Source organism: Homo sapiens, chromosome 3, assembly GCF_000001405.40.
Source record: "Homo sapiens chromosome 3, GRCh38.p14 Primary Assembly".
Classification (NCBI taxonomy): Eukaryota; Metazoa; Chordata; class Mammalia; order Primates; family Hominidae; genus Homo; species Homo sapiens.
In genome coordinates this window covers 174,859,123-174,873,872 of record NC_000003.12, presented here as the reverse complement: position 1 = coordinate 174,873,872, position 14,750 = coordinate 174,859,123, and the positions used below count along the sequence as shown (strand labels likewise).

The window sequence follows — 14,750 nt, the reverse complement described above, 5'->3', positions numbered from 1 at the left end:
GGTATCACCTACTCTGCTTAAATTTCCCTCTTTCAATATGTTTCCTTCCAAGCAGAATGGCATGCACGAATATTATAATGAAAAGCTATTAGTTTCTTTAGATGTTGTTGTGAGAATGAAGTGGGGTGACTTAAATATAATTCCCAGGATAAGTACCTGGCATATAATAGGCTTCCCAGATTTCATTTGACTCAAAATGTAAAATTCAAATCATGCCTAAATGCCATGACTGATGTATGTTCAAAAGCACTAAACTGGCAAAGGCATATTATTCCACATAACCCTAAATATATATGCTTGTATTTTTTATAAAAAGAAACAGCCAGGTGTGGTGGCTCATGTCTGTAATCCCAGGACTTTGGGAGGCCAAGGTGGGTGGATCGCAAGGTCGGGAGTTCAAGACCAGCCCGGCCAGAAGAGTGAAACCCCATCTCTATTAAGAATATAAAACATAGCTGGGCATAGTGATGTGCCCCTGTAGTCCCAGCTACTCAGGAGGCTGAGGCAGGAGAATCACTTGAACCCGGGAGGCGGAGGTTGCAGTGAGCCAAGATTGTGCCACTGCATTCCAGCCTGGGCGACAGAGCGAGACTCCGTCTAAAATAAATAAATAAATAAATAAATAAATAAATAAATAAATAAAGACATGTACACAGAGAGAGAGAGAGAGAGACAGACAGAGAGAGTGAGTTTTAGTTTAATTCATTACATAAAACTAAGTTAAATAGATTAATGCAAACCATTACATCTAGAGCCACTATTAGGGAATTACATACACGAAATGCTCAACAGATTCTTTAACCACTGGATTTAACTGCATTGTAGGTTAAGAAGAAACGGGTGGAGAAGAAATGGGTGAAAATTATATTCATTAGTTCTCACTGTGAGGAGGTTGGGGATGTCCATTTGCAAGAAAAGTCAATATAAACTCCCAGACAATGCTTTCAAAATAGCATCTTTAATGAATGACTGGAGTTATAAAGGCCACTGAGTTATCCAAACTCACAAACAAGGCATCACAGTATTAAAGAGAAACTACCATACCTTTAATTAGGTACTGAAAATTCAAGGAGCAATTTCAGAATGTTTATCAGAGAAACCTGAAGCTACATGAAATGTGTGTGTGTGTGTGTGTGTGTATGTGTGTGTGTAGATGAATACATTGGTTTTTCCTTTTTCACATTACAGTGTAATATTTCCCTTAGTAAGCTATGAGCGGCTATGATCCCTGTCTCCTTGAATTTAGCTTAGCTTCAGCAGTTACTAACACTATACCTGCTACATAATCATATTTCAATAAATATTTGTTGGATGAACAAAGGCATAATACAAAATTTAGCATGTTTAAATTTAAATATGAATCTACTTCAGTGAAATGCTTTAAATTTGAGTTCTCAACTTGCCAAAAATGGCAACTGAAGGAGCCTATCTCTATTCAAGTAAACCATCATTATATGAGTCAGACAGTTTGAATCCCGAATCCCGGCTCTGCCACCTAGTTTCTGCATAATCCTGAGTAAGTTACTTAACCTCAAGGAGCCTTCTGTAAAATGGAGAAATGAAGGGCCATTTTCATGTGGTGGACGTGACTCTTAAATATGGCCATATCTGTAAAGTGTTTGTAAGTAATGCCCATCCCCTAAAAATAGTTTACCAGTTAGTAGCTACTCTTATCATCATAATCAGCATCATAGATGTTAGAATATGCGCTTAATCTTAACAGCACGAGGTTTTCACCCATATTACTACTTCAAGTATGAAAATTTGTGAAATAATGGCTTCCAAAATGATAATCACAATGTTCACCGTTTCATATAAGCTTTGAAGAACCTTAAAGCCTGTAATTTCAAAAAAGATTTCCTGCTTCGGCTCCCATATTTCTATATTAAAATATTAAAGATCGTCAAGAGTAGCACTGGATAATGTTATCATTTTTCTTAAAACAAGGTATTTATTTATTTATTTATTTATTTTGAAACAGAGTCTGGTTCTGTCACCCCGGCTGGAGTACAGTGGCATGATCTCAGCTCAGTGCAACCTCCACCTCCCAGGTTCAAGCAATTCTCCTATCTCAGCCTCCCAAGTAGCTGGGACTACAGGCATGCACCACCACGCCCAGCTAACTGTTGTATTTTTAGTAGACACAGGGTTTTGCCATGTTGGCCAGGCTGGCCTTGAACTTCTGACCCGAGGTGATCCACCCACCTTGGCCTCCCAAAGTGTTGGGATTACAGCTGTGAGCCACTGTGCCCGGCCAAGTTAGTATATTTCTTAGCTCAGATGTATGTTTCTAGTGTTCAGCAGAAAGATGTATAGAGAAGATAATCTTTTGTCTCCTAACATTTAAGTTACACAAATTTAAAAAAATAATAATCCTTCATCCTTCATTTTTAGCCTATGTGGCAAACTTTCACTGGCTACGGAACAAGAAAGAAACAACTTTTCTGACGCCAGATGCTGAAGATCAATAGCTATTTCCCGAAGTTTATAGCATAATTAAAATGTGTAACAAGAATAATTTTCTCTTCATACCCTAAGGCTAAGCCTAGAATTATTGACTAAGTCAAAGTTATGTGGTGTATCATTTTTTATTATGTTTATGGATAATATAAAGGAGTTTATGGCTTTTACATGTAATTTGTTAAGTTAGAAACACTGAAGAGGAAATATCATTTGCATCAGCAAAGTATCAATTGTTTAAAAACCTCTTTAACATGTATTTTGTAAAGGTAAATCTATATTTCTTTATACTAGTTTTTGGTCACCTAAAACTTCAAACTGAAGGTTAATGGTCAAAACATTCTTGAATTTAGTAGAACCCATTTACTTTCAACTACTTGTTCAGAGCTTTATCACCTTCAATAAAAGTGTCAGGAATGTAGGTATGATGGAAATATCATAAGAGTGTGAGGGTAGGTAGGATAAGAGGAATCAAGATGCACCAAAACAGAAAGCACTATGTTGTACATGAAGTTATATGAATTTTTGTAAAATACAGTGTCTATAGAAAAGCAGATACATCAGCTATAAAAGGGACTGTGAATAAAATATTATTTTTTTAAGTAATAAAATTTAAGTCAGTAATTTTTGCATATGGACATAAATGGTAAATATTTAAAGTACTCTCCTGGAAAATTCTATTTTTTTAAAGTAGCTCTTTTAAAGTGGACACCTGCAAAATATAGTGGTCAAGAAACAATTGATTCAGATTTTCCTTGATTTAAATCCTAGCTCTGTCCCTTCGTGGCATTTACTAAATGGCTAATTGTGTTTTTTTTTTATTTTTTTGTTATTATTGATAATAATAACAAGATAATGACACAAACCCTAATGTCAATCACGGATTATCCAAATGTCTTCAAATATTTCCGTGGGTAAACATTGATACCAACCGTATTTTGCCTTCTTCAAATAGAGTCAAATGAAAGTAGGTCCTCATCATTTCAGTCTCATAGGTATACCACATTCATACTATATGGTCAGTGGTATATATGGATGCTTTCCTAATGTTACACAGAATATACCATTATCAAAATTTATGGGCAGTGGAGCATGGGTGTTCCATTGCTTTTCAAAGGGTGGATGGGTTGGTAATGAAATGTACTTTCTCTTCTAGTTCTGCTATAGTCCAGTGGCATACAATCTGAAGATAACTGGATGAAGTAGGATTTTGGGGGCGATATCACACAATGGAGAATAAATATTCCAGAATAACAATCTCTACCTAAAATGCAAACATGCTGATAACACGTACACACGCACACACGCTTACACACACACTCATACACACACACACCCACAAACTCACTCACATCTCTGTGAAACTGACTTCATAATTAGCCTTTTTTTTTTTTTTTTTTTTTTTGGCGGGTGGGGACGGAGTTTTGTCGCTCTTGTTGCCCAGGATGGGGTGCAATGGCGTGATCTCGGCCCACTGGAACCTCCGCCTCCCAGGTCCAAGTGATTCTCCTGCCTCAACCTCCCAAGTAGCTGGAATTACAGGCACGAGCCACCACGCCCAGCTAATTTTGTATTTTTAGTAGAATCTGGGTTTCACCATGTTGACCTAGGCTGGTCTCAAACTCCTGACCTCAGGTGACCCATACGTCTTGGCCTCCCAAAGTGCGTTTTATTTTTTTCCTAGTGCTTTCCCACATTCACTGACACTATCTCTTGCCTAACTTCACTGCAGCTGCGGCTAGCCGATCTTTTTATTTATGTTTCATGGATTCAACACTCCACACACAGCTCCATCTTGACTCTTAGCCAAATAAACTCACCCTTTGCTTCGAAGATCCAGCTGGGAAGAGCTCCATTACCGACTCTCTGTAATCCAGCGAATTTGTCATTACACTCACTCATATTTTTCCTTCCAGAAAGATAAATCTGCATTTCTGCTCTTTAAAGTTACTCTAGGAATCCAAGTCCTCATCTTCTTCAGACACACCCCTTCTATTTGAGCACTTTCATTCTTTCCTTCACTGAACTTCAGCTTCCATTTGTGAAAAGGGAAAAATTATATTTATCTCCTAGAACTGTTTTGGTGTAACTACCTCTTTTTTCCACTCTTCTTTCTCCCATTTCCAAAGTGTGGTCATTTCCCAGGGCTTTATGACAGAATTTCTACTGTTTTAAGCTTCTTAAAGTTATACTCTATAATTTCATCTTTTTTCACCTCATTCCCAGTGATTCTCCAGTTGTATTCTTTCTCATGTCTCACCTTAGTTCCAGGCTTGAGTCACCAAATCCTTGCTGTTTGACTATTTTGTCCTTTAATATTTCTCACTCATTTTAAATAGAAATTCCCAGCATGAATTCCTCTGAAAACTCCGTCATCTTTATCTTCTCTCTCTCCCATGGACTCATCTCAGTTTCTTTTATTTCTGCTCAGACTTTATACTCCATCATCATTATTCATGTCTTCTTCCTCTACCATCCATCTTTGTATAGTCTCACCTATTCACAATGTCATACACCATTTATGCCTTAATAACTCCTAAAGCTTTATTTCCATCCTATTTCTCTCTCTCCCAAGGTCTAGTCTCAATTTTTCAATTTAAGTCCTAGACATTTTCATCAAAATATACAATTACAGTTTAGAATAACTGTTTTAAAGCAGTCTCATTATATTTCTATTGCCTAAACGGTCCCCATCCTACATTCTCTAAATCAGTTAAGGATACTATTCCTGCTGTCATCCAAGCAAGAAATCAAGTTTTCACAGTCTCTTCATTTTTCCTCCTTCAGTACAAGCAAACACCAATTTAACCTCAAGTGTCTCCCAAATTCTTTTTTCGAATCCCACTATAATCACATGAATTCAGCGCATCATCACTATGATGATGGATAACAATAAGGATGAGGTTTAAAATTAAAATGATGGTGTTGATGATTGTGGGAACAGAAAAAACATTTATCAAGTGTAAACTATGTGCCATGGACTGCTCCAAGTGTTTGGCATATTTATGTTTTTAATTTTCACAATTACCCAGTAAGGGGCATATGCCTAATATATACAAATATAAATAAGCACATCACTAAATTTCCCAAAGAACTGAGAATTCATCAAAGGCAGCAGACATACCCTCCATATCTAAAACAATCATGTAAAATAAATTCTATTAAATGAATACATTAGTATTTCGATACCTCACTGTTATCACAAATGCAATTTATCCAAAGGTAAAAGCATTACATTTCTCCTTCTTCCAAAATAACCTATTTACCCCTCACAATGTATCTAGATGCAGTTACATTAGATGCACAGCCATCCGTCACACCTAGTACCTTAGCATTATGTCTGAAGCCTTTGAAATTAGCCTCCTGTTACCAATAAGAACCAACCCTTTGACTCTTTCATGAGCTTCTCTCCTTACATTCTGCTGCTCTAAGTTTCATTTGTTATTTGCCTTTTCATTCTTAGACTTTCTGAGAGCTCATCTAGGTAATCCAACGAGAGTCACTGTAACACAGAACTAGAGAAAATGAGGAGGAATAAATTCTCTAATTTTGAATAACAGTGCACTACTTCCAATCTCAGAATAAAGAGACTCTATGCCAACTATTATTATTCTTGAAAAAAGGTCTGTTTCAATTTGAGACAATTTTTATTTGCCAATGGTTCTTTTATTTAAAGCTTCTTGTTTTATTTTGTTTTGTACTGATCATGTTAAATGCTGCTACTTTATGCTCAACTAATTTTCATGTTAGAATAAATGTAAATTGCATATACACATAGGAATAAGACTGTGCATTTTATGCTTTTTTTCTGAGCATATTAAACTTGAGAAAACATAGTATATGTTAGCTATGGATCTACGCACTAGAAATGAAGCAATAAACAAGTCAGCTATGGCCTTTCATCTCAGGAAGAGAACATTTTATTGCAGTGAAATAGACAATAAACAAATATACCAAAAAAGGAAAATGGCTTATGGTGACATATTAAAAGAATTAAAAATCACACATTAAGACAGACTGGCTAGTTTAGTTTGTGAGGCTGGAGATGATATTTAATCTGATAACTGATTGACAAGAAGGAACATAATATAAGAAGTTCAGCAGAAACAACCAAAACATGTAAGTGTTAATAGCGGATCAGCTTGGTGTGTTTGTTGGAAGAAAGGAGAAGGCCAACACTGTGAGAGTCAAATAAGCTTAGTAAGTTTCTGCCTTAAATTAGTACCCAATTTACTAGTTCTTTCCCCTTTTTTATTTTTGTGATTATGAAGATAAACTATTTATTATCTAATCAATTTAGTTAAATATTTTACATAGACTCCTTTTCCAGAACATTCTATTACCTACATACCAACTTAATTGCAGATTATGTTACTAAACAACATAAGATATTTTGATAAATATGATTTAGTAATTAGTAAGTATTTTATAGAAATATAGACAATATTATGGGTTTTCTAATCTAGAAAAGAAAAAAAGATGCCCCAAAGAAATTTTTATAGGTCTAATTGTAAACTGGAAAAAATATAAAATATGATGCTAAAACTGATCAGAAATCAGAGTCAAGAATAAACACATTAATATTTTCTTAGTAATTTTTTTCTTTTTCTCCAAATTCCTATTTACCTACATATAAAATAACTTCTAGGCAACATCATTACTTCATTGCATCTGAAGGTTATAAAGTCGTTATTATCAATGCCCATATGCTCTTCCTTATTCTTATCTCTATTCTCCTCTTCCCCAGATCTGCCATAGTAACTGCACTGAACCCTTCATTAACCAAAATAAATGCAAAACACCTATATAAAATTCATTAGGAACTCTGGGACAGACAATTGAGTAAGCTTATAAGATATATATATAGAAGCCTAAATTTTAAAAGAATCTATTTTTATTCTGAAGTTTTAACAGTGTAAATATGTAAATCATGTAAATACATAGATCTTGTACAATCTATATTTTTAAATTATTCTTCTATTATTTTCCTTTCTATTTTCAGATTTACTATAGGTTTGAAATTTTTTCTGCAGAAATGTTTTTGTGACAAATATATGGCTGCATAGTGCAATAGCTTTAGGAGCTCAAAGGAAAATCATCTATGTCAATATTCTTATATGAGTTATATAATAGTATTTTCCTTCTCTCTATAACAATTTTAATTTTAATGCTCAGTGTTTTCTAATAAAGATGCTCTCTTCTAGTTAGGCCTGTCTCTTATCCTCTATAGAAATGATTTCAATTTCTATCATCATGTCTATCAAGAAATCCATGCATCTGTTGAATGACTGGTACATTTCTATATAATTTGAAGACCATAAATGTGAAAAACAATTTATTATTTTCTTTTGGCTGCTAGGAGGCTTGAAAGCAAATTTGTCACCTGCTTGACAGTTTTTCAGCATGTTCTGGCATATATTTTGTATACAAATTTTAACTGTTACATTGTCTTAATCTTATCTCTATTATGTTTATTTATTTATAGCCTATAGCAAAGTAGAGAATTTTGAAAAATCCTCTGTTTCCAAAGAGGGGGGAAATAAAGCAAGTAAATACATAGAAACAATTTCCATGCTTTCTCTCAGCTGTTCTTTTGACCAGTGAAGGCTTTTTTCCTTCTGGTCACTTATTCCAGTTTATCAAACTGCCAAGGAAATTTCAAATCATCTCTCTTCTATGAAACCCTCTATAAATTCCTAGATTCCTCTATAATTTCTTATTTACATCCCTGTGTTATAACAATACCAAGAATCAGCAAGAATGGAAGCAATGTCTACCTTTTGAGGCAGTGTATTTCTCCATCTCTGAAAGCTCCCTCGAAGAAATGTGGATGTGATGGAGAAATTTTCAAGATTTATCAATAGTTTAATGGAAGATAGGCTGGTCTACGATTGCATTAAAGGTCATAAATAAAGAGGAAGATAAAGTACAATAATCCTTCATTCCTCTCTTCTCATGACCTGTTTTCAAAGGAGCTTACTTTTGAGAGAACAAAGGAATCAAGAGATTGAATGGATTTCAGCAGTTTAATCAGATCTCAGAATGAATCTTTCACTGAAGTTTCAAGTCACACGGTAAAGTTGATTGTATGGTTTAACAAGCATACGTGCACACCTTTTGCATGTTCATTATAAACTGCATTAAATTTAGCAGTTGACTTTTCAAAGTATTTCTCTTTCGACTTTTTTAGTTGGTAGGATTTTATAACTTTATTATTTTTTTTTGGACACAATATACAACCTGCATTACACTAATCAGGGGTTTAAAGAGGCAGGTAAATTACTTTTCAATATAAATTACAGAAAGCATTTATGAAAGAGCCTCCCGAAGTGTTCGACTATGCAGATGGTTAAACATATCTGTCACCAGAGCAACAAAATAGCATTGTCAAATAAAACTATTGACACATACTTTTCCTGAAGAGTAATTAGAAGCTCAAGGGATCAACTGAAGCTCAATGCCCTTTTGTGTATTGTCATCCTAATAACATCTTCTTTGCAATCTTTGCAGTCACCTGTTATTTCTTCACTTATATATCAAGTCTAATACTTTCCAATAATAAATCAAATACATGTTTGGTTAATAGTCCTCCCCCAAAAAACTGTGATACAAAGAAGTTTGGCTTACTGTCCTACTCAATTAGCTAAATTTGTTTAAACTCCTTCCAAAATCCAGAGAATAGCATACAAAGTAATAATTACATTTATATACTTATAATCTTAAGATTATTACTGCATCTTTTGTTCAAAGAAAAATTCAAAAACAGATTCAAACTTTTAAATAGATGGAAAAGTTTTTATTGCATGATTAATAATAACGTATAAACAATCAAGTCATCCTGTAGTTATGTATCACCTTTTCTTCAAGAAGATTTTACAGTGACTTTAATTGAAATGTAAAATGTTTCCCTTTGAAACAATTTCAGTACCATAAAATATTATTTAAATCAAAGGGGATTAAACAAACTCCAGGAACAAACTCCATATTTCAAAGTGTTTGAGAATTGGCTTTTCCTCCAACAGCAGGTTTTAACTAAGTACCATGTCATTGACCACCTTTATCTCACGTTCTATTCAAGTACACTGCTTGCCATCTTATTTCTAATAAGGTAAAGATTCCACTTCCACTTAGAAAGACAAAGAAAAAATTAGCTCATAAGCTCAGTTAGTTGATTTCATTAACTATTTCTTAGGCTTTACTTCAGATTTTGTTTTCCTAATCTCTTTTGCCTGCTGCAAAGACCCTCTCTTGTACCTGGAAAATGTACCCAGTCCATCTTCACATGCACCTTTGCCTAACTCACTCATTTAGGTCAGACTCACCTTGGATTTCATGCCTTGACATTTTCAGCAACTTTCTTTGCTCCAAATTTGCTTGATTTTGTTTTGAGATTATGAGACTTTCCAGCAAAGATTCTGGAAATTTCAACTCCAAGATGTCCTGTTACCTCAATATCTAAATGTCAACTCTGAAATTCCTCAGGTCTTCAAGTGTTTGAACCTATCATGAAGGGCTAGTGAAAGCCTTCCTCATGGAACACAGGTCCAACAGGAGCTCCTTGCACTTCTGTTAATTGAAAATGCTATTAAAGTTCTGTAGGCTGGGAAGGAAGAGTCACATACTGGTTAGTCCTCTTTGTGGCATCACAAAGATTTCAAGGCACTCACAGTCATGGTTTCTGATGATGAATACAGAGATATTTTTCCCACCACAGAAAGTAAGCATGCACACCAAACCAGTATAACAGGTTGGAGTACAAAGTACTACTACCCTCAGGCTGCAACTTGGAAGCATAGACACTAAGGCTCCTCCTGCCTAGAGTTGTTTTTTTTTTCTTTTACTTATTTTAAATAGAATTAGTGCCATTTCTAAACAATGACTCTATTATGAAGAAACATTCCATACATGTGCCTATGAACTTACAAGCCAACTTCTCCTAGCTGTAATGAAAATTAACTAAATGTCTTACAAGCTAATGTAACTTTTGTTTAGTAAAGAGAAAACCCAAGCCTGGATGGACAGGTTCCATAATAAGCTCACTGAATACTCGACAATGCTTTCAAGACCATAAATATAGAAACTAAAAGACGTCAATATGGAAAACATTACTAAGACTGCTTTCTCCATTAGAAATAGGAAAGTAAATTACTCTAGAAAATAATGCACCAAATTCTTCCGTAAAACTGCAGCAAACGCAGTTTTGAGCAGCAGGTTAGAGACGTGGCCTCTGGCAATGGCTTCTGTGAAACCAAAAACAATTTTCCTAGCTTCATAGGATCTCTGTTACTCTACAAAGTAAAAACATTGGACTTGAGACTATCTTCTAGCTTGAAAATGTTAATTTTCTGAAGATTATTTTTTCCTAACTGTGATGGCAAAATTCTCCTTCAGTGGGTTGAAGAGTTATCTCCTGCTGGTTGCTATCTAGAGCTAGCTCTGCATTCCTCAGGATCCAGCCAACTCCTCTGTACTTGGAACATCTTCCCCCAGAGTTCTACTGTTTTGTAGCCTTCAGAGTAGGGATTTCCTAGAGCTAGAGAACTAAGAAGAACTGAAGTAGAAGGAGAGCTATTATTAGAAACGCTCAAAACATCCAGGCAGCTGGTAGGCAGCACGAGTGCCAAGTGTATTAAACAGCCCAGGGAGGCGTAACTTAAAGATTCCTCCTCTCACAAGATTGTCCCAGCATTAAACTCAGAAATACTTTTTATTCAATTATCTCAAGGGCCAATTAGTATATCATATTATTTACAAAGAGGAAGGTGCCCTTGAATATATTTCGACTAAAGATGAAAAGGAGAGAAAGAACATGTTAAAAGCTCATGGAAACTGGATTCCTGAGGTAGCAGGAGCTCAGCAGGTGAAGCACATAGCTGGATGCTGATAGATTCTTTCCCCATTTTCCAATTCTGACTAGGACCTACTCTGTTAATAAGAATCCTGGGAGAAGTAGGAAATGGACATCCTTCGAGGCAGAGAAGAGGTAAGAAGCCCTTATACGTTCAAGGATGGCCTCTGAAGAAACTTTAGCCTAAGGCATATTCCAGGTAGTTCCCTTCCAGGAAGGGAGCTGTCACCCTCCCATCTCCCAGCCATGTCCCTCCCTCTACTCCTGTTACAGACTGATGGAGTGATAGAGTGCCACTCAGTGGTGCAGGTGAGTTTGCAGGCATTATGCAAGAAAAATGATCCTTCCCTTCACAAATAACAATGCTTAGAAAGCACTTACCCCTATTCCTTATGCCATATTATTTGTACAATTTTATTCATATTTGCAACGTTTAGAAAAAAATTCTAGCATTCTCTCCTTACCTAGATAATTTATTTTATGAATCCTGAGGACATTATGAACCTTCATGTATGATAGCTTTACACAATTCTCCGCTGGGGTTACCTTGTCATTGGGACTAAAAGAGGAGATTCCTTTTTATGTTTGAAAAGCTAATTAAAATCTGTTCACACAGCTCAAGATAACCTTGGAATAACTTCACTTTTATTCAGGAAAAAAAAAAAATGGGTTCTCAATACTACCAGAAACACTAAATGTTAATGGCATATGGGCTCCACTAACCAGGGCACATGCAACTAACCCCCTGAGAGTATAATTGGGTCAGAGATGTACAGAAAAAGCACTGTGATGAATAATCATTGATAATATCTATGGCTAGCCTTTCAAATTGTAACTAGAGATCATTCAGTGAATCTAGAAAATCTAGATACATGGCCTTAGAAAATCATTATTCAAAGCACTTGATGGAGTTCCAATGATAATCTACATAATATATTATCCTCATAGTCAAAACACGTAAGTCATCCACATGTTTAATATACAAAACATATTATTTTAACATAGTTATTTCCACTAAAGAACATCCGTTTGTAAGTGGAGCTGACAATGAGTATTATTTGAAAGAACCTCAGAATTTTTTATAAATGTCATTAAGTCAAAGGTGAAATTGAACACTAGAAAATAACTTTTCATTCACTTTGGTCATTTTGAAACTCAATTTCAGATTTTGGACAGGGTATCACAGACAACAGAAAAATGTTAAGGCATTCCATTGCCTTTATAATGTAAAGAAATCCAGAAACGAAACCAACAACTGAACTACCATCGGTTCTTTTTAACCCTCACTTGATTAATAGGTGCTCTTAAGAATCTTGATGCAAATATAACTGGTAGGGAAGCACTTCAATACTCCAAGAAGATAGATCTGAAATATTTACAGACCTACCAAGGATACATTTAAACATGAATAAGATCAGAAGAGAATAAATATTTTATTGAAAAGTTTTCAGAGTATACAAACAAAAACTCCCTAGTATATAACTGATTTCACAAGTTTTACCCAACTACAAAAGGCTTAAAGATTAGGCACACTGTTCTTGAACTTAAAGCACACCATTCAAATTATTTACTATATCACTTGTGTTGAATTTTGTGCATGGTTTTCTGATTAATAATTCTGAAAATAATTGTAGTTTTATACATATATATGGATAGGGGAAAGGGAAGGCTATCCTTACACAGTGAAACATATGTATTACCAGAAACATAATATACATAAAAAGCACCAGAGAAAAAGAAAGAAACAACAACAAAATGTATACACAATCTGGGATTCAATTAAAAAAATATTACCCATGATCCTAACACAAAGAGGGATAATGAGTGAAATGGAAAGAGGCCTGGTTACTCCTTAGTTTATTTTGATCGCTGAATACAGACAGGTGATGCACCCACACAGCCTAGAATAGGCTATTTAGGTGGTTGCCAAACAGTAATAAACATTTAATGTAAAATCATTATCATATGCACAATTGGAACAAACTAGAGGCTTCCCATATACTTTCCAATGAAAAATATTAGAGACAAATAAGGAATATGTTATAATCTTGTACATAATACCATTTGTCCATAAGACACATAGAAATAAATGATTCTCATTATGCTAAATGAGCCTTTTACCTTACTGTTTTTCTTCAATAGAATTTATTACATGACTTTTGAAATTAATCTTTTAAATTAAAAATGCTTTATAGTAGCATTTTACACAGTATTTCAAGAAAGATTTTTAGGAAATATACAGAGATAAAAAAAGATACGGGGATTCTTAAGCAGGCTATGTAGAGAAAAGATTAAAGAAATGAAAGAAAAATATAATTTAACTATAAAATAGGTGATATATTTTTAGGATCATGCAGATCTATGTGATCTCATGGTATTCTAGAAGTCTATAACAAATATTGATTAGGCCCAATATCTACTTTCTTTTTCTTCTTTAAGAAATAACTTTTGTTACCCAAAAATGTGAAATGTGAGCGACCTTAAATTTGTTTCGGTGAACAAGCCTCTAACCAGAGATGCCTAGTCAAGCCAATGTCAACAAAGCCAGTCCTTTCAAAGGACAAAGGTATCTGATTAAGCAACACCTGTGAAATAAATCACAGCCTCCTAACTGATAGGCTCGCCCATGTTCCCCTGTTTTCTACCTTTTAAAAAGTGGTTATATTAATTACAGGGAAACTGAGCTGGTAAACTCCAGAGATGGCAAAACTTAATTACCAATAAACACTCCACAGGTAGAGACAAAAATCAAGGTTCTGTTAATGTTGGAAAAGGTCCAACATGAAAATGCACTGGAAGTTGGTTATACCATTTCTCCAACATTATACTGGGGATTAAGGATAAAGCTTTCCATACCCTCCACGGGTCCCCCAAATTTGTGATTCTGTGTTGCCTGAGTCTTTGTAAACAACTGAGAAAACATGCTTCCTCTGAATCAACAATCTCCACCTCTTTTCTCGCTCGCAGAAAACACCTTAAAAACAGGGCCAGGGCACCTGAACATGCATGCAGGGATGCGTGTGTGCATACACAGAAACACACAGACTTTGTAATCAACACTGCTTAAGTTTCTGATTGTGAAAAGTGAAAAGTTCATAGGCTGTTGGTACTTACCTTGCAAAGACGTGTTAGGTAAACTTGCTTCATTCTCTCCCATTTTATTATTTCTTTTTAAAGAGGGCCAAGCAGTTTCAAGTTGTGTCACTTACCCTGCAAGCTTTGTGACCTTCTGACTTTCTACTGTAGTATTGTAACAGTATACTACCTGCTTTCTTCTGTGAATAATTACCATTCTGCTTCCTGAGTTACCTGGGCTTGCAGGACCTGTTTTACTATGAAGTGAGATCATATCTTTTGATCCACTGTATGGCTATTAAAGTGTACTTCACAAAACATTGCTTTGTTTCAGTTTTGATATAAACTTTTAATTCTCTACTTTCAC

The 14,750-nt window shown here is 35.0% G+C and overlaps 1 protein-coding gene across 17 annotated transcripts in view; it reads right to left on the bottom strand.

Moving 5' to 3' along the window:
* The window catches only part of NAALADL2 (N-acetylated alpha-linked acidic dipeptidase like 2), a 1,369,567-nt gene that overhangs the window by 936,676 nt on the left and 418,141 nt on the right, over positions 1 to 14,750 (bottom strand). For 3 of the 17 annotated variants that reach the window (XM_011512613.3, XM_047447880.1, XM_047447881.1), the window contains exon 1: positions 9,783 to 14,539. The exons of 11 other annotated variants lie outside the window; for them this stretch is intronic. In XM_011512613.3, coding sequence (XP_011510915.1) covers positions 9,783 to 9,804 — 22 coding nt within the window. In that variant the 5' untranslated portion in view covers positions 9,805 to 14,539. Of the gene's footprint in view, positions 1 to 9,782; positions 14,540 to 14,750 lie in introns of those variants that run through there. 3 more of the 17 variants (XM_047447878.1, NM_207015.3, XM_047447879.1) reach the window with 1 other exon arrangement.